The following is a 24,195-nucleotide window of genomic DNA, read 5'->3' on the forward strand; positions in this document are numbered from 1 at the left end:
GCCAAGTACATCCAGATTCTGTCATGTTATGCCACGCAGTGCTCCAGTGATGTCCTCCAAGAGCCATCTGCTGTCCACAATGAACAAGGCTTCAGAACCCAAATGATATACTTAAACCTGAGCAAAACAAGCTGGAAGCTTGTTTAAAAAGGCATTGCTTTGCCAAAATGTATTCACTGGAAAAATCTGCTATAAAACAGTGAATATATTATGCAAGTAAAATTAGACCTTTCAACCTGCTTGGTATGATGCATGATTGCACACATTTACTGTAGTTGATTCTGCCAGATTTAAAGTGATTTTATTCTTTTTATGAGACATTTAGTGCAAAAGGTCAAAAGAGAGATTTAGGATCCCTGTCATCCTTTTATTTTAGGAAAAAAAACACTCATTTACACCACTTTGGATCACAAGATACAAATCTTTAAGCCACAACAAACAAAGGACAATAACAAACAAAAAAGAAATCAAACCAAATTTTGTATAATTTTGCACATAAAAAAGTGACAGATGCAACCCAAATTATAAAATTCTGTTTTGTAGGAATGCGTTTCTAGTGATGGTAACATTGTGAAATCTCACTGCCTGCTATTCCAGTTGTCTAACCAAGTCTTCGCTGTCATGGCTATTGCTGCTGTCTCCAACTTCACAATCATCAGTTTTTCTTAGACTCTTAGTGGCAGCAATTTCAGACAACTTGCAATTTCTTGGACATGAGACGCTGTGTCGCCCTTCTGTGCCTCTTACTGTGAACTTTGTTTTCTCTGAAGGGGTGTCCTAGTCTTTTTGTCTTACTAGTCAAATTCTGACTTTTCTTGTCAGCTCTACCTAAAAGATTACCTCTATTCTGAAGGTTTTTGCCTCCTCACACAGCCATCCCAAAGAACTGATCCCTCCTTTGTTTTGTTGTTTTTTTTTTTTTGCTGCCAATTGAATCTGGTACAAACTTCTGTTAGACCCCTTACCCTCTGTGCTGTTATTATTTATTTATTTATTTACATCAATGTTTCTCTTACTGTAACATGAGCTCCCTGAGGACAAGAAGCATGTCTTCCTTGTGACTCTAGCACCTGGCATGTGAGATGTGTTCAAGAAACTCAAGACTAAGGGAATGAATGAATGAATGCCACCAGTGACCTTCAGTGCCTCTCTAGTGGTACCCTTTTTAAATTGAAAATTTAGACTGAGAAATCCCTGCTTTCTTTTTTTCCTTATCATTAATCAAAGTCATAATGATGACTAAAAAGGAACTGAAAGTCAAAATGTGATTTCTACTTATATAGTATAGTTCTGAGACTGTGCCTTTCATTTTACACCACTTTCCTAATTCATCCCAAGTCATCCTCCCAGCAAATAATCAATAAATTTACATTATAATCATAGCACCATACTAAATACTGTGAAGTAGCATTTAGTAAAAAGAAGAATGAAAGATCCTCCAAAACTCTTATAAACTTTCTGGGAGGACAGTACATTCACCTTTTAAAAATTCAAATAATAGTACGTAGAGGTTACATGATGCTAGGTGCAAAATGAGTGAGGCAGACAGTAAGTGTTATAGGCAGGCATAAGAGGAATAATCACTTTGATCATAAACCAGTAAGGATCTGAAAGTTCCATTGGTTTTAGAAATGAGAAAAGTTGAAAATACAGCATATTGTGTTGGAATAATGGAATGAAGAATAAAGGTTTGTATAAATTTTCTCAACTATGAACCTGAGGATGAGTAGACTGTCTTCCATTTTTTAATCAATTTACCCCAGCTTTAAAACCTACTTAAAATATAATATGATTTGGCTATATGTCCCCACCCAAATCCACCTCCAATTGTTATCCCCACACGTCGAGGGAGGGACCTGGTGGGAGGTGATTGGATCATGGGACCAGTTTCCCCCATGTTGTTCTCATGATAGTGAGTGAGTTCTCATGAGATCTGATGGTTTAAAAGTGTTTGGCAGTTCCTCTCTCTCTCTCCTGCCACCATGTAAGATGTGCCTTGCTTTCTCTTCTCCTTCTGCCATGATTGTAAGTTGCCTGAGGCCTCCTCAGCCATGTAGAACTGTAAGTCAATTAAACCTCTTTTGTTTTTACCCAGTCTGAGGTAGTTCTTTATAGCAGAATGAAAATGGACTAATACAGAAAATTGGTGCCAAGAGTGGGGTACTGCTATAAAGATACCTAAAAATGTGAAAGCAACTTTGGAACTGAATAATGGGCAGAGGTTGGAACATTTTGGAGGGCTCAGAAGGAGACAGAAAGATGTGGGAAAGTTTGGAACTTCCTCAAGACTTGTTGAATGGTTTTGACCAAAATGCTGATAGTGATATGGACAATGATATCCAAGCTTAGGTGGTCTCAGATGGAGATGAGGAACTTATTGGGAACTGAAGTCACTTGCTATGTTTTAGCAAAGAGACCACTGACATTTTGCCCCTACCCTAGAGATCTGTGAAACTTTGAACTTGAGAGAGATGATTTAGGGTACCTGGCAGAAGAAATTTCTAAGCAGCAGAGAATTAAAGATGTGACCTGGCTTTTTCTGAACAAATACAGTTATATGTGTACACAAAGAGATGGTCTGAAATTGGAACTTATGTTTAAAAGGGAAGCAGAGTGTAAAAGTTTGGAAAATTTGAAGCCTGACCTTTTGGTAGAAAAGAAAATCCCATTTTGGGGGAAGAAATTCAAGCTACCAGCTGCAGAAATGTGCTTAAGTAAAGAGAGGTCAAATGTTAATCGCCAAGACAATGGGGAAAATGTCTCCAGGGCATTTCAGAGATCTTCATGGCAGTTCTTCCCAACACAGGCCTGGAGGCCTAGGAGTGAAAAGTGGTTTCATTGGCTGGGCCCAGGGCCCCACTGCTCTGTACAGCCTGAGGACTTGGTGCCCAGTGTCCCAGCTGTGCCAGCTCCAGTCATGGCTAAAAGAGGCCAAGGTACAGCTCGGGCCATTGCTTCAGAGGGTGCAAGCGTCAGGCCTTGGTGGCTTCCATGTGATATTGGGCCTGCAGGTGTGCAGAAGACAAGAATTGAGCTTTGGGGGCATCTACCTAGATTTCAGAGGACGTATGGAAATGCCTGGATGTCCAGGCAGAAGTCTGTTGCAGGAGCAGAGCCTTCATGGAGAACCTCTACTAGTGCAATGTAGAGGGAAAATGTGGGGTTGGAGCCCCCACCCATAGTCCCTACTGGGGCACTGCCTGGTGGAGCTGTGAGAAGAGGGACACTATCCTCAAGACCCCAGAGTGTTACATACACCTGGCCCCATGCAAGTCAAAAAAAAAAAAAAAAAGCCACAGGCACTCAACGCCAGCCTGTGAAAGCAGCCAATGGGGCTGTACCCTGCAGAGTCACAGGGGCAGAGCTGCCAAAGGCCTTGGGAGCCCACTTCTTGCATCAGTGTGGCCTGGATGTGAGACATGGAGTCAAAGGAGATTATTTTGGAACTTTAAATTTAATGACTGCCCTGTTGGGTTTCAGACTTGCATGGGGCCTGTGGCCCCTTTGTTTTGGCTAATTTCTCCCATTCAGAACTGGAAGATTTACTCAATGCCTGTACCTCCATTGTATCTTGGAAGTAACTAGCTTGTTTTTGATTTTATAGGTTCATAGGTGGAAGGGACTTGCTGTCCCAGATGAGACTTTGGATTTGGACTTTTCAGTTAATGCTGGAATGAGTTACAACTTCGAGTGACTATTGGGAAGGCATGGTTGCTTTTGAAATGTGAAAAGGACATGAGATTTGGGAGGGGCCAGGGTGGATTGATATGGTTTGGCTCTGTGTCCACATATGAATTTCATCTCAAATTGTAATCCCCACATGTCAAGGGAGGGATTTGGTGGGAGGTGATTGGATCTTGGGGGCAGTCTCCCCCCATGCTTCACTTCTTGTGATAGTGAGTTCTCATGAAATATGATGGTTTAAAAGTATTTGGCAGATGCTCCCTCACTCTTACTCTCTTCTGCCACCATGTAAGACATGCCTTGCTTCCCCCTCACCTACCGCTATAATTGTTAAGTTTCCTGAGGCCTTTCCAGCCATGTGGAACTGTGAGTCAATTCAACCCCTTTTGTTTATAAATTACCCAGTCTGAAGTAGTTCTTTATAGCAATGTGAAAACAGACTAATACAGAAAATATGAGCATTTTAATAATTCTTTCAGCGAAAGTCTACCTTTAAAATAGATTTATTTGTATTAAACATATTTTGGTATTTCCAGCTCTAGGTACTTCCAGACATTTTTCCAAGTTCTTCTCCACCTTTGGGGGTGAGCCCTTCAGCCCCATCCTTTCCCTAGAGTGATGTTCTTCAGTCTTTCAGATGACTGTGCCCTCTTTCCTATTGAGTGTACTTCTGACTGAGTAGCTGACCCCAAACAGACTGCCTCTAAAGATGTCATTCTTCATCTTTTCTCTCCTCCTCAGATGATAGTCAGAGCTAGCCTTTCTGACAATGGTAATTTAAGGTCACTGTTCCATTCTAAACCAATATATCACAACACTACATGCAATAGCTGCAAAAGAAGACCTGCTGCTCAGATATGTTCCAAGCACTGTGGATCTGTCAGGAACAGTCTAACTTAATGTATAAAGAGCCTGTGGGCATAACAATGGCACAGGAAGCAACTGAGCTCTGCACTAACACTTCCTGTCTGTTTCCTTAGACAGAAGTGAAGGTTGTTCCCTCTGTTTTAATTCACTGGGGTATTACATATATTAAAAAATCATAGAATATTAGACCTTCATATGAACTACAAGATACAAGTCCAGTTCCCTCTATTTACAGAAAAATCTGTAACTTGCCTAAGATCACAAAACAGATTAGAGAAGAAAGAGGGCCAAGAAGCCAGGATTCAGCTCTACTGTTGTTTTGTCTCTCTACATTGCATGCTGCTTGTCCAAAACAAGCACCCCAGGATTTATGAGAATCACCCTTGTGTATACTTTGGAGTACTATTCAAGTTTTCCATTCTTTTTGGATATTTGTTTTTAAGCAGAGTTTGCAAATACTACTAGTATAAATATAGGTATGCTTCACTTTATGTAATTTATTTTCCTAATGACAGGATCTAAATCTTTTCCTCAAATAATTATCATCCAACCATGGATAGAGATAGATGGTGTATCAGTCAGCGATATGGTTTGGCTGTGTCTCCACCCAAATTTCATCTTGAATTCCCACGTGTTGTGGGAGGGAGCTGGTGGGAGGTGGTTGAATCGTGGGAGTAAGTCTTTCCCGTGCTGTTCTTGTGATGGTGAATTGGCTTCACAAGATCTGATGGTTTTAAAAATGGGAGTTTCCCTTCACAAGCTCTCTCTCTGTCTCTTTAGCTGCTGCCATCCATGTAAGACGTAACTTGCTCCTCCTTGCCTTCCACCATGATTGTGAGGCCTCCCCAGCCATGTGGAACCATGAGTCCACTAAACCTCTTTCTTTTGTAAATTGCCCAGTCTCGGGTATGTCTTTATCAGAAGCAAGAAAATGGACTAATACAGTCAGGATTCTCCAGAGAAACAGAACCATTAGGATATATATATATATATATAATTATGGGAATTCATTCCCGTGATTATGGAGGCTGAAAAGTCCCAGGATACGCCATCTGCAAGCTGGAGAACCAGGAAAGATGATGATATAATGCAGTTTTAACCCAAAGGCTAAGAAAAGGGCAGGGGCAGGGGAGAACTTGTATAGGTCCCAAAGTCCAAAGGTCTAAGAACCTAGAGTTCTGATGTTCAAGAGCAGCAGAAGATGGATGTCCCAGCTCCAGAAGAGAAAGCAAACTCACTCTTCCTCCACTCTTTTGTTCTATCTGGGCCCTCAGTAGATTGGATGATACCTGTCCTCAAGGAAAGCTTCTGTACTTAATCTACTGATTCAAATGCTAATGTTTTCCTCCAGAAACACTCTCACAACCACACTAGAAATAATGTTTTACCAGCTATCTGGTCATCCCTCAGGCCAGTCAAGTTGACACATAAAATTAATCATCACAGATGCTACAGGGATTAATCATTGCTTTGTATTAGTATTATTCTCACAGTGCAACCTGATAAGAAAGCAAAGTACCCACTCTTTAATGTTACACATCAAATTGATACCACTGATATAAAAATGCTTTATAAAACTGTCAAATGTTATATATCTGAAGAGTTATATTTTCATTAAAAATTTAATGTATTAAATATCTCAATATTAACAATTGCCAATGGCCTGGAATAATTAATCTTTCACTCCCCTTTATGATTTATGTTGTACATTTTTTAAAAATAAAATCCATTACTTTTGTGTTAATTTCCATAGTTCTTTGCAATAAATACTACAAATAAGAAACTTTAAAAATCATTATTTAAAATACACTGGGGAGGGTAGGCTGGGGTAGGTAGTCTTCTGTACAGCTGGGTTTAAAAAAGTGAGAGAGAGAATACCTCAAGAGAGATGTTAGAGAAGAGTACTGCTATCCAGATAAGAGTGGGAATAGTATTTCTTAACTCATTTTAACATATTATCAGCTATCCCCCTGAGTCTTTACCATGCAGTATGTTTTCAAAACCATAAGAAGTGATAGGTTGTTTTGAAAAAATTGCCTGTACTGTCAGTAGTGTTTAAGTTATCTAAACTCAGATACAATGGCAGTTCTCATAATAAAGTACATATTTATTCTCCCACACTAAAGTAGCATTGTGTCCTACATTATCTACCTTATAGGATGAAATAGAAAATCCACTTTTACAGATGTCCCCCAGAATAGTGTTACTCACTTAATGATGTAGCACCTATGTTCTCAGTGAAAGAGAATACTGAGAAATAGATGGCAATGAATTATTTTCAGGAGCAATTTAAGAGGAAGCAGGTGAAAAGGATCCTAATTCTTCAGGGTTTGAATAGCACGATAAGCAGTGTTTTATTACAGGAACAACAAAAAATTAGCATTCACTGAGCTGCTTATACATTTAAACAATGAATAAAAATGTAGTGTAGTTCTAAGTATTGCAAATGAGGAGAGGAGGAGGAGAGTCTTTCCATAGTTAAGAATTTTTTTAGCAAGTAGAAAACAAAGCTGATGATTTAGCTATTCATGTTTATTTGAAATTGTTTCTCATCTGCCCCTATTCTCTATGAAAAATACACTGTAAAACAAATTTCAAAAGGAGATAATTGTGTATTTCATAATCAGATGGAAGCGTAGGCTTAGAGTTAGGGTGGGGGAGGGATAGGGCAGCAACACCGACAGGGCCAGGAAGATAATGGAAATAGGTCAAGTGTGTCTGATGAAAGACTTGGTGAGAGGGTGGAGCAGACGCTCTAGAGAGCCCATGCCCTGTCTAAAGACATTTAGTTTCAGTTTAAGGAAACAAAATAAAAATAACTTAGCCATGAAAAGCCTAAATTCAGACCTTTTTCAACCCAAGGACCAATAGTTGGTGAGCTCTGGGTTCATGAAATATAAAACCCTGAGACCTCAGTGAACACCCTCATGAAGATCCTCAGCACACATAATGAAAACCTCAAACAAGGGAGAAAAAATCTCATATAAGATTTTTTAAAAATTTAGTTTCATATGTTTGTTACCTAAAACAATGCTGTTTACCATCGATTTCTGCAGTGCTTATCAGCTTATAAAAATTGGTTATTAAGAACCAATATTTTAAAAATACTGTGCCAAAAAAAGGTTCTTTTGCTTAGGGTAAGAGTGTTTTTAATCTGGCATCTGTGAATCTTGAGACATTGATACGAAATTGTGTGCCCCTGCACAATCCCATGTGCATGCATGCATGTCTGTACACATATGACTGTGTCTACATGTGTATTTCAAGGACAAGCGTTTCATAGCTTACCTAGTGTGCCATGACCTCAGAAAGAGAATAGAAACACACAGGAAAAGCAAGCAATCCAGACACAATCCTTATCAGGCTGGTCAAGCTGCAGACAGAAGTCTGGCCTGCCAGCACTCAACCATAAATGATATTATATGATGACAGAATTCTACCTGTGAAATATTAAGATGAATGCAATTTGTCTCCAGTCTTGGAAGGGCACTGGGAGGACAATGGCAGGGGTTTAAGCATGGGACTAAACTCACTGGACCAAGACACACAGATTTCCTTGAACTGGGCAAGACAAGGTCTAAATTACTAGAACTGTGTCAGAGACTGTCCATCAGCAGAATTGACTTTGCACCTCTGACTCCTAAAATCTGCTGTTTGAGAAGATCATCCCTAAGCCTGGGCATGGTAGGGGTGAGTTCAGTGATTCCACATGAAGGAATTGAGATGCTGATCTGGGCTGGAAGCCAAATGAGTCCAAAAAAAGACAAACTTTGGATACATAATTAAGGAAACAGATAACATTTACTGAGTGTACACTGGGTGCTGGCTGCTAAGAGGTGCTTTATGTGTACCATCTCATTTAATCCACTTAACAAATGTTATCTAGAAGCCAAAATATGAGAAGTTTCTCCTTTGTAGCTATAAATGAATTCATTCCACTATTAGCCTTCAAACTTTCTTCAAGTAAAGACAGATATTATTTCCATATTTCAGAAAAGGACAAAACTTTCCAGAGTACCAAAGTTTCCCTAAATTTGTAAATCTCAATAAAGGAGGAATACACATGCCTCTCTGAAAGAGGCTGGGCACATAGTTTTAAAACACATGCACAATATAATATCGTTTTACACTATAAAATAATTTGTTGATTTGGGAATACAAACTAGGAAGTGATGCACGAGAGATGGATTTCTTTCTCAAGATCAGTGATTCTCAAGAGTAAGAGGACTATCCCCCTAGTTAGGGTTGTCTGTTCTAACTAGTGAATTTGAGATCATTCTGTGACTTGCTGTGACTTTTTGGGACACCATAGTGAATTAAGGCAGAAGGCCCCAGAATGCTGACCTCTCCACAAAAGCTGCTGAAACGAGACCACCTCTGCCACACATAATCCCACCAACAAGAAATTATAACTTAAAGTCATCCTCCAGTAAGCACATTAATGCCTTCTTTGTCTGACATCAGTAAGACTCCATATGATAAGCTTTCCAAATAACCAATGGTTACCCATTAAGAGTTAAAAAATAAAAAGAAAGAAAAAGTCAAACCTTGGTTTCAAACCTTTCCAATATATATTATTCATGCTGTTGTCTTCTTAAACAAAGTGTTTAAGTTACTTTCCCTCTTGCTTACCACTCACGATCACCACTGTAACCATGAATTATTGGCCAGGGATGTAACCTAAAGTGTGCTTGCCTCCTTTTCTGTCTGCCATCAGGCTGTCTGCTCACACGGTCTTGGTACCCACTCGTATGGCCTATCTCTTTACAATTTAATGAGAGCTGAGAAATTGTGGGCAAATGTCAAAACTCATTATAGTTTACTATTTTATGGTCATTAATTCAAATCCCTTCATTTTGCAGTTCTGAAATCTAAGACTCCGAGGATTAAGCCTTGCCCAAGGTCACACAGTGAACTATAGTAAAGTTGCATCTTACAATTTGTATTTCAGAAAGAAAAATATTGTTTAGTCAAAATTGCTCTTAAGGATTTTTTAAATTATGCTTTAGTATAATATATACTCATTAATTGAGTACTATAGAGATAGATTGAGAACAGAGCAAAAGTCTACAGACAGATTACTGTCTATTCAAACCGTTCACCTTCAAGATAACCATCAAATCTAGTAAATGAGAAACAGAGAGAGACATTTTAAGTGTTCTTGCTTCTCTACAGAATTTTTCCATTTGGTTCCAGTATTAAGCCTCTGTATCCTTACTACATTTCAATTGATTGGTCTCTCCTCTGCAGATTAGAGGCTTATATAGTAATACTCAGGTGTTAAATGCACCTATAATACAACTCCACTCTGGGGATATAGGGCAGACAAAGATACACAAATATACAGTACTTCTTGTTCCCTCATTAGCACTTTTTCAGCTACAACTACCTACCTATTTATCAGACAACAATCTCTGAATATGACTTGGAAAACAAAAACACAAAAGTTTTACTAATAAACATTTTAGTACCCCTCCAGTTTACTTATTTCCTGTTTTTCTTTTGTTCCCTAAGTTATTAAGTTTGCTCTGTAAGAGAAGTATTAGTAAATGAGAAGCCATTTGAGTTACATTCAGTCACTTTGATTAGCATCTTTGGTAATTTTTTTCTCTCTCATAAACATATGGTAAAGCAACATGTAATGTTCCAATAATTGTGATTTCAAATCTAAAGTACTATTTGTTCATTCCCGAAACCTGAAGCAAACATCTGGTGGTTAATGCTTTAAGAAAAAAAGTACCTTAGTGCATTACCTCTGTATATGATTCAAGATCATGGGCAAAAATATGTAGATGAGATCAAGCCACAAAAGTTTAAGTTGATCCATTCAATTAAAAAAGGAAAAAGAAAAGATGGGCCGGGCGCGGTGGCTCACGCCTGTAATCCCAGCACTTTGGGAGGCCGAGGCGGGTGGATCATGAGGTCAGGAGATCGAGACCATCCTGGCTAACAAGGTGAAACCCCGTCTCTACTAAAAATACAAAAAATTAGCCGGGCGCGGTGGCGGGCGCCTGTAGTCCCAGCTACTCGGGAGGCTGAGGCAGGAGAATGGCGTGAACCCGGGAAGCGGAGCTTGCAGTGAGCCGAGATTGCGCCACTGCAGTCCGCAGTCCGGCCCGGGCGACAGAGCGAGACTCCGTCTCAAAAAAAAAAAAAAAAAAAAAAAAGAAAAGACCCAGGTGCTTCTGTGTTTCCTCTAATGTAAGGAACGGAGACTATGCAGTGCCTGAAGGACTTCTTCCTTTCTGCCTCATCTTGCAATTAGATATAAACTGTATCCCGTATATATCCTCCCATTGGAACAAAAGATGTGACTGCTTCCCTATCCCTATTCCATGTATGCTCAGAATTATTCCAGTTTGTGCATACCATCAGGTTCATATTATCATGCATTTTGTTAATTCAAATTCTATTTCCTACATTAAACTTATGTCCCATTTTTTCTTGTTTTATTTTAAGATTTATTCCAGTTCATACTTTCCATTTAAAGACAGCAGTTGTTGGCCAGGTGTGGTGGGCCTGTAATCCCAGCACTTTGGGAGGCCAAGGTGGGTGGATCACTTGAGGTCAGGAGTTCAATATGGACCATCACCATGTTGGTCAGCCTGGCCGACATGGTGAAACCCTGTCTCTACTAAAATACAAAAAAATTAGCTGGGCGTGGTGGCAGGTGACTGTAATCCCAGCTACTCGGGAGGCTGAGGCAGGAGAATTTCTTGAACCCAGGAGGCAGAAGTTGCTGTGAGCCAGGATCGCGCCATTGCACTCCAGCCTGGGCAACAAGAGTGAAACTCCATCTCAAAAAAAAAAAAAAAAAAAGACAACAGTTGAAATAAAATTGGAAATAAAGTTGCACTGTCCATTTTGTAATGTTGTTCATTTTAACAAAGTGTTTTGAAAAAAAAAATTTTATAGTGGTAGTGTATTAGTCTGCTAGGGCTGCCATAACAAAACACCACAGACTGGGTGGTTTAAACAATAGGAATTTATTTCTCACAGTTCTAGAGGCTGGAAGTCCAAGATCAAGGTGCTGACAGCTTGGCTTCTCCTAAGGCCCCACTCTGTGGCTTACAGATGGCTTCTTCTTGAGGATGGCCTCAAATGGCTTTTTCTCTGTGCCTGCATGCCTCTGATACCTTTTCATCTTCTTATAAGGAAAGAACAAAGTCATATTAGATGAGGGCCATACCCTTATAATTTTATTTGACCTTAATTACTTCTTTAAAGACCCTATCTCAAAATATAGTCACAGTGGGGGTTAAGGCTTCAATGTATGAATTTTAGGGGAACACAATTGAGTTCATAACAGGGAGCAATGCCATTAATCAAATATTCTGTAATACCTTCCCCTTACAGAAAAAAATAAAACCGTATGAAGGAAAGTGATAACGTTGTCACTTATATGTGATATCAAATTATTCAAAATATAAATTTATATGTGAATAATTTATATGAAATATCATTTATAGGTGAATGAGTAAATGAACATAAAATAACCATTAACTCTGCTTTTTGACCTATCTTAATAGAACCCACAAAGATTTAGCAAAGGAACAGCCAGGCAGGCTAGCAAGTCACACTCTTACATATTGTTTTCTGGAACAAAGAAAGATCCAGCATGAGAAATGCCAGATGGGACTGCTGCCCTTGCCCTTGTATATGTTCTCGGGTCAAATTGACAAATTTGGACTTTGTTCTCTGGAAATGTGGCTTCCATATTGGAAACAAACCTGAATCTTACTTAAATAGCTCAATATGCAGAGCCACAAGACTGAGGCACTTTAGTCACAAACATACAATAAAACAAGAATACTCTAGTATTGGTGCACAAATACAAGTAGAGGTATCCTTACCCCCTTGTGAAGATCACACCCATTTTTTAGAACATGACTTTATGTCCAATTGGATCACTTGCAGTGTTCTCATTTCTGAATTTTTTTAGTGCTTTGGATTAGGGTAGATAGATTTAGTAAATAAAAATATAGAGTGCCCAGTTAAGTTTGAATTGCAGATAAACAATGATTTGGTTTTTTTTAAGTATAAATATGTCTCATATAATATTTGGGATGTACTTATACCAAAAAATTCCCTTGTGGAACATACTTATAATGAAAAATTATTTGTTATTTATCTGAAATACAAATTTAACCATGAGTCCCTTATTTTATCTGGCTACCCTACTTTGGGTTCAAGAATGAATTTTCTCCCCTTGCAACTCCCTGCCCCCCAACACTCTTAAGCTACTGTCACCAACTTTGTAAATTTAATTCCCTAGTCTTAATTTGGTGCTGCCTTTAACCTCTGCCCCAATGCATGAAAACCTCGGGCTTCAGGCTTCCTTCTATTGGGCTGCTTTGATATGTGGTTACAGAATCCCTGTGCTTAAGTATTACATCTTTACATCATATGACAGCATTAATATACATAAGGTACTCAATAATATGGTGAGAAATTTCTAAACCTTGAAATTTCCAAGCCCTGGGCTCAGTTTGCTCACTTATAAAATCAAGGGAGTGGATTCAAGGTGTTTTCCCCAAGGTTTCTTCTAACAATTCCATGCTACTAGTCTTTGAAATGAGTGTTCCATTAATGCTCTCATTTGCCTTGTAAAACCTAAATTGTTCCCATTTTGGATGAATCCGTTCCCGCCCCCCCCACCCCCCCCCCCACCCCCCCCGCCGCGGTAAGTAGTGTTTAGATTACTCAATTAATAGTTTCACCTTTAAAGATATTTAACTTAAATTCCTTAAGGGCCAAAGAACACACTTTTCTTTCCACCCCTACTTGCACCAGGCTTTGCACACAGTGGGTGATCAGATTATGTGATCATGATCATGGACAATGTTGAAACAATCCCTTTGTGGTGAGCTCTGACTGTCAAAAATAATTTTTGTTATGAACCTAAGCCACCTCCACGGTTTAAGACAGCAATCTGGGAGCCGCTCATTGTTCTCTTCCGCCATCTAGTGGCGCTAGGGCTGCTTTCGTCCCTTCAACTCGCACTTTGGAGCTGCAGGGATTTTAAAATTGTAAATCAAATGGATGAATTGTTTTATTCTTGTCATTACAGTAAAAAGGGATTTATAGAGTGTTTCAAGAGATAAAAGGTAATAAATGTTAATAAAATTTAAGTGTAATACAATGGCAGACTTTAATTCTTGAACCTTTAAATTCATACAATTTAATTCCTTTAATATGTTAAAATGTTAAGTTGAAATTGAAGAATAAAAATATAAACTATATTAAAGTTTTTGAAAGAAAGATTATCCTTTCAAGGTGCGCTTATATACTGGTTAAGAATGTTTTCATATAAAATAAATGTAATCATAGCAGATGTAAAGCAAACAAAGGGAACAAATAAAATTCTGGTAAGTATTGAATTGGTAGAGAATGTTTCCGTTCTGTATTTAAGCACTTGTCTTCAATTAAGTTAGAGATTATTCTCATTATTATTTATAAATGCAATACAATGTTTAATGAGTGTTGAACGATATTTAGTTTTAATGTCCTATAATCTGGAACTTTCTTCAAATGGCATTATAGAGGGGTTAATTGTGTGAATCTAAAGTAAAAATAAATTTCTCTAATGAATGAAATAAAATATTTCTGAAGTGTGACTTATTTCCCATTAAAGCTATTTTTACTGAATAATTATAGGAAATGTTTCTGACATTTTAACATTATTCTGGCTTTCTTTTGATTTTAATTTAAAATGCCAGTGCTATTATGAAGTATTTAGATCTTTCTAATAAAAAATATTTAATTGGAATACCATTTTGTTTTTAATACAACGATAAGCCAGCTAAGAAATCTCCAATTTGTTTTCCAGGGTGGAAAAATCCCCATAAGGTGGACAGCCCCAGAAGCCATCGCCTACAGAAAATTCTCCTCAGCAAGCGATGCATGGAGCTATGGCATTGTCATGTGGGAGGTCATGTCCTATGGAGAGAGACCTTATTGGGAAATGTCTAACCAAGATGTAAGTGCTACCGATAGTTAAACTGCCATTTTGTGAATGTAAACACATTAGCTTGAGGGGGAATTATGCCTTTTGTCCTCACTCAGATTGGCCTTTATCTTCCTGAGAACTTCTCATGGTCTATGGCTGAGTTTGAGAAGCTGAGTAACCTTTCACTCTGAGCTGTATTTGATGTCCTCAGGGACAGCTGCCAGGCTGTGCCATGTGAGTGCCTGATGCACATGTTACATCTCAGATTTCCATGCTTGTTCTAATGAAGTCTGACTGTGTTTGTGCAATAGCCTTGACCTACAAGTAAGACAAAAGAAAGAGTAATGTTTACTTTTCGTTTCTTCCTTAGGGCAATTCAATGCAGCACTGTAAAGAGCAAATCAATTTAGACTAGATATCACTTAGAGGGAAAAAAGTGAATGCTTTCAGGCAATGCATTATCAATATGTGCCATCTAGTACGGTTCTTTTGATATGCATGACCCCTAATGCAAACTGTTTTGTTTCTATTTTATCTATAAAACTACCTTGGTGGTTGATACTATAATATTATAGAACAGGAGAATTCACACATTGAACCCCTGTGACCTATCCACAGTGATAGAGACAGTATTCAGAAGATGCAGATACTCTGACAATGCAAATAAGTGTGCTGTCAGAGCTGACATTATATTTTAAGTTCCCACTTCCTCATCTCGAAATTCAGGCTTTGTCTACTCACCTGTTCTTCTCAAACTATAAGATGGTTTCTGATACAATGGTAATAAGAAATCACCTATAATGTGATTCTGAATGTTCATAGGTGAAAACAAAGGCTACGTAACTATAGATAATCCCTAAACACTATTGCCACATCTCATTTATTTTTGCCAGTTTTAACACAACTTAAGCAACCCACACACACCTCCACACCTCATACTATCCCAATCTCAAGTTGTCCAAGTATCTTAAGGACTTAATCACAGAGAAAATTTATCCTTTTCTAATGTCAGGCATAGATAAGATTGGATTTTGGTTGGCTGGCCATGGCTAGTGTTTCTCCCTGCCATACAGTACTGCTTTTGAAGCTGACTCCTTAGTACTGTGGGTGTCTACTGACTCTGTGGAAAATGCTAGGTCCAGAAGTTAACGTAGCAGCAGGTTTGAGGCCAAACACACTGCTCAGTCATTGTTCTCCAAAGCACAACATCAAACTGCAAAGCCAGTGTGGCTGGGCCCTACAGAGCATTTGGCCTTAAGGACAAAGTGCATCATAACCAGCAACCTTTGCTCCACCCCCGCAACACTTAGACTTTTTGGATCTGGGCCATTTGCCTACAGTCTGCTATTCATCAGGGAATCATATTTGAAGGACTCCTTTGCTCTTCCCTGCCATTGGGCTTTGTTTGGGGCAGTTCCTGGCTGCTTTTCCAGTTTTTCCTAAAACTGAATTCCAGAGGCATAAATTTGTTCCTTCACTTTCAAAAGGAACCCATATTTGGGGATTTTGTTTGTTTGTTTGTTTTAACCAGTTACCTTAGGTAGTAAAAGCCCTGGTTTCAGTCACCATAATTCCTCTTCTGCCCTAAACTCAAGATAATGCTTGCCTGCTTGTCCTATTTTAACACAACCAAAATAGGCCATTCAAGCAAATGCCCAGAATAAAAAGTCCTTCTCCTCCAGATGAGTTATAGTCTTCACTGCACAGAAGAGTCTTCAAGTACCCTCCCTAATTGGTATTCTATTTGGTTCTTGTCTTAACCAGTTCCCAGCAGACTTAAATCAGAGGGCCCAAAACTTTACTAATATACTGGTATCAGTAAGAAGTTCTTGAGCATCCATAGATGGCATATGTATATTTATTTGCAGATTATATACAAGTACTACTGTACTAATATATTCATTTAAAACTATTTAGTGAATGCCTTCTCCATTCTAGGAACTAGGCTTTCACCAGAGAACACATATTACATTTGGAAGGGACTGTAAAGATTATCTAGGCCAATCCCTTTATTGGTCATGAAACTGAGGCATAGAGAAGTGACATATTTCCTTAAACTCTCATAGTGGTGACTTATTAATGCTCTTAGAAAATAATTCCAATAAACTTCTAGACTAGGTCATGGGCAAGGAGAAGAGGAATAATTGTATCTTTCATGGTGGTTTTGTTTACAGTCCATGTAGCTCCTCACGTAGGGCCAGTGGTTTCTTGCCCTCATGGAGCTTACTTTCTAATGGGAGGGAGATAGACTATAAACAAAATCGATAAGAGACATAGTATATAACATGATAATCACTGCTATGGGGGAAAAAAGCAAGAGAAGAGGATAAGAGATATTGGGTTGTTGATTTAAATATATATATATATTGCAAAATATATTCATAAAAGTCATTTATGGTCATAAAAGTAATAATCATTCTAATTAGACATTCATAAATAATCATTCTTATAATAGGAGGATACAAATAAATATAAAAAGCAGTTCCATGATTTTTCCTGCCCCCCAGATTATGGCACCACCCATTTAGTAACCATGGCCACAGTTATGTGGACTATAACTCAACCATGAAAGACACTTAACTTTAAAAGTGCCTCACTTTCAATAAGTACAAGAAAGGGGTGAGATGATTTTTAATATCCACTTTAACAGTAACATGCTATGATTTTATAATCTCTGAAGAAATATTTATTATATTTTTCTCAGCAAATGGAATAAGGAATGATTCATAATATTCTTTTCTGATGTTTAGGACTTTTCTGAATCTCTGCAGAGGTGCCAAGAATTAGATAGGATGTCCACAGAGCAGAAGGACAAATGAAGATGCCAGACCACAAGACAGATTTTTTAGGAGAGCAGCTTTTGCCCAAATGTGTAGTTTTCAACATAGTCCACCATGTAAATTGTTCTTAATAATTGTAGCCTAAAGCAGTCCAAACCCTGTTGTCCATCATCTTTTCCTGGATCTTGCCCAAAAGGTTGCCCAGCCATTCTGGCCATGTATATTGGTGATCTGTGTCCAAGACGACCATTTAGAGAGTGATTTTTGTCTATTAAACCTCATTTGGCCACAGAGGCTCTATCTGGAACCTGGAGAAGATGCTGCAGCCAGGAATAGAGTTCCAACATTAAGCTCATTCTCATTCGTTCAGGATTGCCAATGCTCACAGCACAAGGCTGAACTCTTCCTCCACCCAGAGCTTGATTGTTTTTCCACTAGGTAGGGTTTAAGCTGTTGTATTGTCATGGTCTTGACGTGCATTACCAAAGAATATTCAAGCAAGAATCTGGGAAAAGGGGAAAAAAGAGGATGGAGGCCTGGGGGGTGAAAAAAAACCCAAACCTTGAGGTCCTCACATCAATTCAAGACTACAGGAAAATAGTAGGAGCTAAAATCTTTTATGTATCTTGTGAATATTTTTGCTGCTGCAGTAAAGAGAGTTGAAATTCTGTTTAGCTTCACATATTGGAAGTCAGCATAACTGTGACAGATCCTATAACCAGGATTTTGTTTGGAAGCAGAAATAGCTTAATCAAAAACTTCCCAGCTGCTCTTTCCAAATACTGGCTATTCCCTATCTGTCCTGCATTTCTCATTTATTTGATCAAAATACAGTATTACATTTGACTTTTACCAAGCAAGGCCTCTTTTAAATGAAAATGTGATAGACAATACAAATTTGACTATGTTCTGTGAGAATATTTTATATTTTTACTACAATTTGGTGAGTTTAACAAGGCTATTCATACAGATCAAATGGAATGTTACCATGTTTTATGATTTTAAATTAGTTTAAGAAATTTCAGATTGTTTTTATGAGTTTCTCCGTTCTGCAGACTGTTGTATATTTTATTACAATGAACAATTCTGAATCTGCAGAATCTGTTTTAGTGAATAATATAATGAGTTTCCCAAAGGTCAGTGGTATTATACTTTAGGGAAAGGAAATGAGAAAAAAAGAGTACACAGAACTAGTCCATAAAAGACCTAACAAAATATAATAGCAGGTACCATCTGCTTAGCCATTCAGCAGTTAAGCATGCGCCAGTCATTAGACCAAATGTGTATGTGGGGTGGGGATGGGGAATTAGAAAATCCAGTTCTCAGTAGGCCAAGCATAGTAGCTCACACATATAATCAATGCTTTGGGAGGCTGAGGCAGGAAGATCACTTCCCAGGAGTTCCAGACCAATGTGGGGAATATAGCGAGACCTTGTCTCTACAAAATATAGAAAAAATTAGCTGGGTGTGGTGGCGCACACCTACAGTCACAGTTACTCAGAAGGCTTGAGCCCAAGAGTTCCAGGTGACAGTGAGCCATGATGATGTGTCACTGTACTCCAGCCTGGTGACAGAGTGAAGTCCGGTATCTTTTTTTTTTAAGGGAAATAAAGTAAAAGAAAATGCAGTTTTCACTCTCAAAGAACCCACTATGTAGGTAATGAGATAAAATTCTGGTATTTTTAAGTGTTATCCCCACCCCCAAATAGAATGTAGACTCATCAAGGGTAGATTCTGTGCCTTCTACTTGTTTTTTAAATGGAAACAATACTGTGTGAAAACACAGTTATTGTTTAATAAATATATATGCCAAGAAAGCTTGCAGGCCCTATTTTTCAGGGTTCTTTTGATTACAAATGAAAGAAATGTAACCCAAAGTAACATAAGCAAAAAGTAGGAAATTTTTTCATCATGAAACTAAGAAGGTGGTCCAGCATTGCTCAATCCAGAGGCTCGTGCAGGATTTTTAGTGCTTCACTAGGTGCATTGACCTCATTCTCTCCTACTGCTAAGTTCTTCGCTGTCTGCTTCTTTACATTCCAGGGCTCAGTATTCCAGCTTTGCAACCCCAGCAAAACGAGACCTTCTTTCTGTGCAAATTCGTACACAAATCCCAGAGGAGATTCTGGCTGGCTTTGTTAGGACCTTGCCCCACACTAAACAAAAACCATGCCAGGGAAATGGACACTATGATTGACCCAGCTAGGTTTATATGCCAGTCTGTGCACTTAGAGGTGGTCAGAGCATTGTAACTGGCAGTTTCCCCATAATTACCTCTAGTGAGGGAGGAATTCCCCAAAGCAATGCAGTTGTGCTATCAGAAGGTGTATATTACTTTTTTGGTATATATCGTTTTCAAGAGCAACTTTATTTACTGCAGTATCAAATAACAGCAAAATATTAACATTGTGCATCACTGTATTCTAATGAGGCAGCAGATGTTATTGAAAAGACCAGTCGGGCTTTAGAACAAGATCTCTCAACCTTAGCACTATTGACATTTGGGGCCAAAAAATTCTTTGCAGATAAATATGTTACATGCTTTGCAGCACATTTAGCAGCATACTCAGCCACTAAGAAGCAGATGCCAGTAAAACCCTCCCACACTGTGACAACCAAAAATATCCCAGATGTTGTCCCGTCATCAACATAAGATGGAGGGGAAAATCACCCCCAGTTAAGAGCCACCGCTTTCTAGCTAGAAAGATCTGGGATCGAATCCCAGATCCACAATTCACTAGCCATATAATCTTAGGCAAGTTGTTTAAGCTTTCTGAGATACTGGGTATACTGAGGTTCAAAATACCCAGCTCTGGAATTTGAAAGAATTAGAGATAATATATGTAAAGTACCTGGTACATAGGTGTTTAATCAATGGTAATAATAGCTTACATTTTCTGGTCTTACTATGAGCCAAGTATTTTATATTATTAGCTCATTTAATTTTCAAGATTATTTTCTGTTGTAGGTAACCATTATTATTCCCATTTCTAGATAAGATAACTGAGGCTTATAAAGTACAAGTAGCTTACCCATGGTTACATAGCTGGTTACTGATAACACCAAAGTTCAGGCCCCCTGCTTACTCCTAAATGCATGCTTTTACCCGTTAAGCTCTACTGTGGAAGTCCAATTTTCAAAGGAGTCTTCACACCACAGTTCTACAAAATGAGATCAAAGCACATTTAATTATGCATGCTCCTCTATCACAAGAGTAGTATTTTTATTGTTTCCTATTCGCAAAATAATGTGGATTGACTCCCAGTTGTTTGGAAATATAAATATTTTCTGCAGGATTTTTGTCTTGATGTTAAAAATTTATAAAATGTACCATACCGTTACTATATTTCTTAAAAATATTTAAGGCAGTAGCTTAAAATCAAATTTTAAAGATTGACATATTTAGCCTATTGCCAGAAACATTTCACAAGTACCTTGAAAGTGTATAGCCCCTTGCTGTTTTCTAGCGTATGAAGATTTTTCTTCTTTTTTATAAGGTATTTCAGGGTAATGTTTTATGTTATTTTCATCCAAGTTCGAAATAGTTATTATTTACTACATAATGGAAGTGTATTGTAATGCTGGAACTACACATGCTCCAAAGATGATACCAAGGGCACCGTGGTTCTTCCCTCCAACACTTATACCATGTAATGTAGTTAACAGAAGAAAATGGAAGCAAAACACGAACAGCAGGCAACATTAAATAACCAAATCCCCACAGAGCTCATATGTAGGGAAAAAAGTAGCGACACTTAAATGAGAGGTGACTTAGCTCAAGCTAATGATCTAAATGTAAGATTGCAGTCTTGGGTTTTGTTTCGTTTTGTTTCTTTCCCCTGACATGATGCTGTTAAAAAATAAAAATCACCTTGAAGCACTTTGAAGCCCAAATGCCTCCTGGGTATGGTATCATTTAGGCATATGCTAGCTAGCTAACTAGTTCAGTTTCCCAAAAAGAGAACTGCTATCAGGGAGCATTTCATTTGAGGTTTACTAGAAAACAGGATGCTTCCTTGGTGTTTTTGTTTTCATTTATTTTTCCCTCCTTGCTTTTCAAATGCTTTTAAATAATAATGAGTTTTGCTTTAGATTGCTTTCTGAAACTCACCTGAGGGGGAAAATATGGAGTTTATCATTAGAATTTTATTTTTATAGGTGATGTGGTCAGAAATAAACTTTTGATCTTAGCTGAATTGATTTGTTTTTTCCAAATTTAAGAAGGAAGAAAATAACCTTTTACTGTACTTCCTGTTTGTCCTCATAATTCTATAACCTTTCTCAGTTATGGGTCAGTCTTTCAGCCAAGAATAGTGGATATGTAGAATCCACTTACCTGAAATGCAGCATGATTTTATGACTCAGAGATCCCAGTCATTTCCAATTTTTGTCTCTGATTAGATTTTCCAAACTCTACTTTATTATGTAATGGTCCTTGTGTAATGATCTGTGTAAGACACTACAGCAAATTGCTAAAAGCCCATTTCTATTATTTCCACCTTCTATAATACAGAGGAATTTTTACATTTATTTGAATATGTATTCTACCAAAGGAATTTTCAAAAAGGCCTTCGTTTTCCTAACTTTTCAGTAATTCTTACTGTTGGTAAATAGGCTATCGCAGTATTTTAATTAAATACATACTAATTACATGAGTATGATGTACATCTGCTACAGAGGCAAGAATAATAGGGAATATTACAAGATGTAATCAATCATAATTCAAATAAGTTTCAAGGAGAAGAAACCAGTAAACAATGCGGTACTACCACAGTATAACTTTTAAGGGAAAATTTTTTTAACTGAATGACCACAAAACTGGAAAATGTGTACATGCCAGCAATATTTTCATAAAAAATTAATTATACCTTTAATTTCTATTTGGAAGAAATATATTTACTAGCTTTAGAACTTATGATTTTTATTCATTTTCATGCTCTTTGGAGCCTTTACAAAGAGAGCATTTTCAAATTCCCTTTTTCTTTGTAGTCATAATCTATTTTTCCATAGCTTTTAGATATTTTTAGTGGAGCCAGGAAATGTATTATTTAGAGTTGTCTACTATCTTTCTAAAATCAAAATGATCCACCAGTGAAGAAATTTCATTTTTTCCCAGAGAGTGCTTGGGAAATGGCACTAAGTCTTAAGAACATCAGCTTCTTAAAGAAAAAAAAATAGTCTCAGAAAAGTAGATTTGGAATGTGTCCTTGTATTTTCAAAAATGTAATTTGTTGTCCAGGAACTGGCATAGTAAGAAATACCATGGTGCCCCAAATCTTCCTAGCTTTACTTTACAAGGATATACTCTGGTTCTGTCTGTATTTTTGTCTCAGTATAGAGGTCCATCTAAGCACTTGGAACTCTGTGAGAAATATTCCTTAGAATGGAGGCCAAATCCAGAATTAAATTTACAGAAACACCAGATCTAGAGATGTTACCAAAGTTCCTACAGACTAAATCTTTGGTTTCAATGACCAGAATCATAGATTTTTTGAGGTGAAAGGTACTATTGCAGACAGAGTCCAGTCCTCTTTCCTTTATCAATGAAGAGTCAGAGACTTGCCCAAAGGCAGAGCTTGGTTAGTGACAACTTAGGACTTCAGTGCGGTTTCAGGCAACTCCTTCTCTAATGTTGTTTCCATGACTTACAAACTGAATGAGACTTTAAACTGTTAGCAACAAAGATTTTTTAAATGATAAATCATGTCATCAACAACTTTTTAACATATGAGAGTCCTACATGTTGTTCCTCATTTTGTCCACTCATTTAACAATCCGTAAAAAGGAGACCTCCTGAAGGACCAACACTTTCTATTTTATATAGGTCCTTGACATGCTATTGTGACTTCCAAAAAGAAAGGATGGAGAATTGTCTTAGGTGTAGGATTTTAAGAAAGTTTTTTTTTAATCTTAAAGCTAAGAAGAAAATCTGAAAAAGAAAATCTTAGGCTAAACAACAAATTAGTCTCTGAAAAAAGTGTTTTCTCTGTCTAAATATTTCATCACTGTAACGCCTTTTTTCTATAATTCTTTTTATTAGTATACCTAATTTCATTTGGCATTTGATTGCTTTTAATTGAGTTATACATTCTGAATGTTGAAAAATATTGAATGAGAAAGTATATTAGTCCATTTTCACACTGCTATGAAGAAATAACCAGAGACTGGGTAATTTATAAAGGAAAAAGGCTTAATGGACTCACAGTTCCTCATGGCTGGGGAGGCCTCACAATCATGGTAGAAGACAAAAAGGAGTGAAGGCATGTCTTACGTGGTGGCAGGCAAGAGAATATGTGCAGGGGGACTGCCCTTTGTAAAACCATCAGATCTCATGGGACTTATTCACGATCATGAGAACAGCACGGGAAAGACACACCCCCATGATTCAATTACCTGCCACTGGGTTCCTCCCACGACATGTGGGGATTGTCGGAGCTACAGTACAAGATGAGATTTGGGTGGGGACACGGCCAAGCCATATCAGAAAGTATAAAATTACAAGTGTTATTTACTTAGAACCACTTTCCTTCTGCCTTATTTTTTCTTTTTCTTTTTTTTTGCTCATGTAGACACAATCTTTATATTGCACACCAGGAAAATACATTACCAGTGTTTTCAGTGTTATTGTATTATGAATATAAATATCCTAATCTGTATAAATAATCGTTACCACAAAAAGTAAGTATAGACTGTGACTCTCTGCTTTGCAATCCCCCTTCTACCTGAAATTATAGGTTTTCCACAAAGATGTGAAGAATATTTAGAAGGAAGATAAAAATAAAACCATTTCACATTCCATTTTCTAGTGTACATTTCAGCCCTTGTTAAATTTTGAGACAGTTTCTTTTTAAAAGACTGTATAAATAACTAAATTCAACGTGCCTCTCTTTTGGAGATACCTAGCAGCCTTATAAC

The 24,195-nt window shown here is 37.8% G+C and overlaps 1 protein-coding gene and 1 long non-coding RNA gene across 16 annotated transcripts in view, besides 1 other annotated feature; one reads left to right on the top strand and one right to left on the bottom strand.

The window, feature by feature from the left end:
* EPHA6 (EPH receptor A6) overlaps positions 1-24,195 on the top strand; it is a 946,939-nt gene that overhangs the window by 891,287 nt on the left and 31,457 nt on the right. For all 14 annotated transcript variants that reach the window (XR_001740110.2, XM_017006211.2, XM_006713592.4 and 11 more), the window contains one exon: positions 14,381-14,530. Coding sequence is in view for 13 of the 14 variants with exons in the window: in XM_017006211.2 (XP_016861700.1) it covers positions 14,381-14,530 (150 nt within the window). In the remaining variant the exon portion in view is untranslated. The remainder of the gene's footprint in view (positions 1-14,380; positions 14,531-24,195) is intronic.
* Positions 5,605-6,109: an enhancer, noted in NCBI's record as "NANOG hESC enhancer chr3:97430329-97430833 (GRCh37/hg19 assembly coordinates)". NCBI's record gives its function as "activates a minimal SCP1, AML or CMV promoter by ChIP-STARR-seq in naive H9 embryonic stem cells {active_cell/tissue: H9 hESC(naive)}" and the evidence as "EXISTENCE:reporter gene assay evidence [ECO:0000049][PMID:30033119]".
* The window catches only part of LOC124906256 (uncharacterized), a 40,819-nt gene continuing 28,142 nt past the window's right edge, over positions 11,519-24,195 (bottom strand). The window contains exons 3-5 of one of the 2 annotated variants that reach the window (XR_007095973.1): positions 20,313-20,441; positions 14,613-14,818; positions 11,519-11,698 (exon numbers count right to left, since the gene is read on the bottom strand). This is a non-coding gene — a long non-coding RNA (uncharacterized LOC124906256). The remainder of the gene's footprint in view (positions 11,699-14,612; positions 14,819-20,312; positions 20,442-24,195) is intronic. The other variant, XR_007095972.1, reaches the window with a different exon arrangement.

Source organism: Homo sapiens, chromosome 3 (assembly GCF_000001405.40).
Source record: "Homo sapiens chromosome 3, GRCh38.p14 Primary Assembly".
NCBI classification, from domain to species: domain Eukaryota; kingdom Metazoa; phylum Chordata; class Mammalia; order Primates; family Hominidae; genus Homo; species Homo sapiens.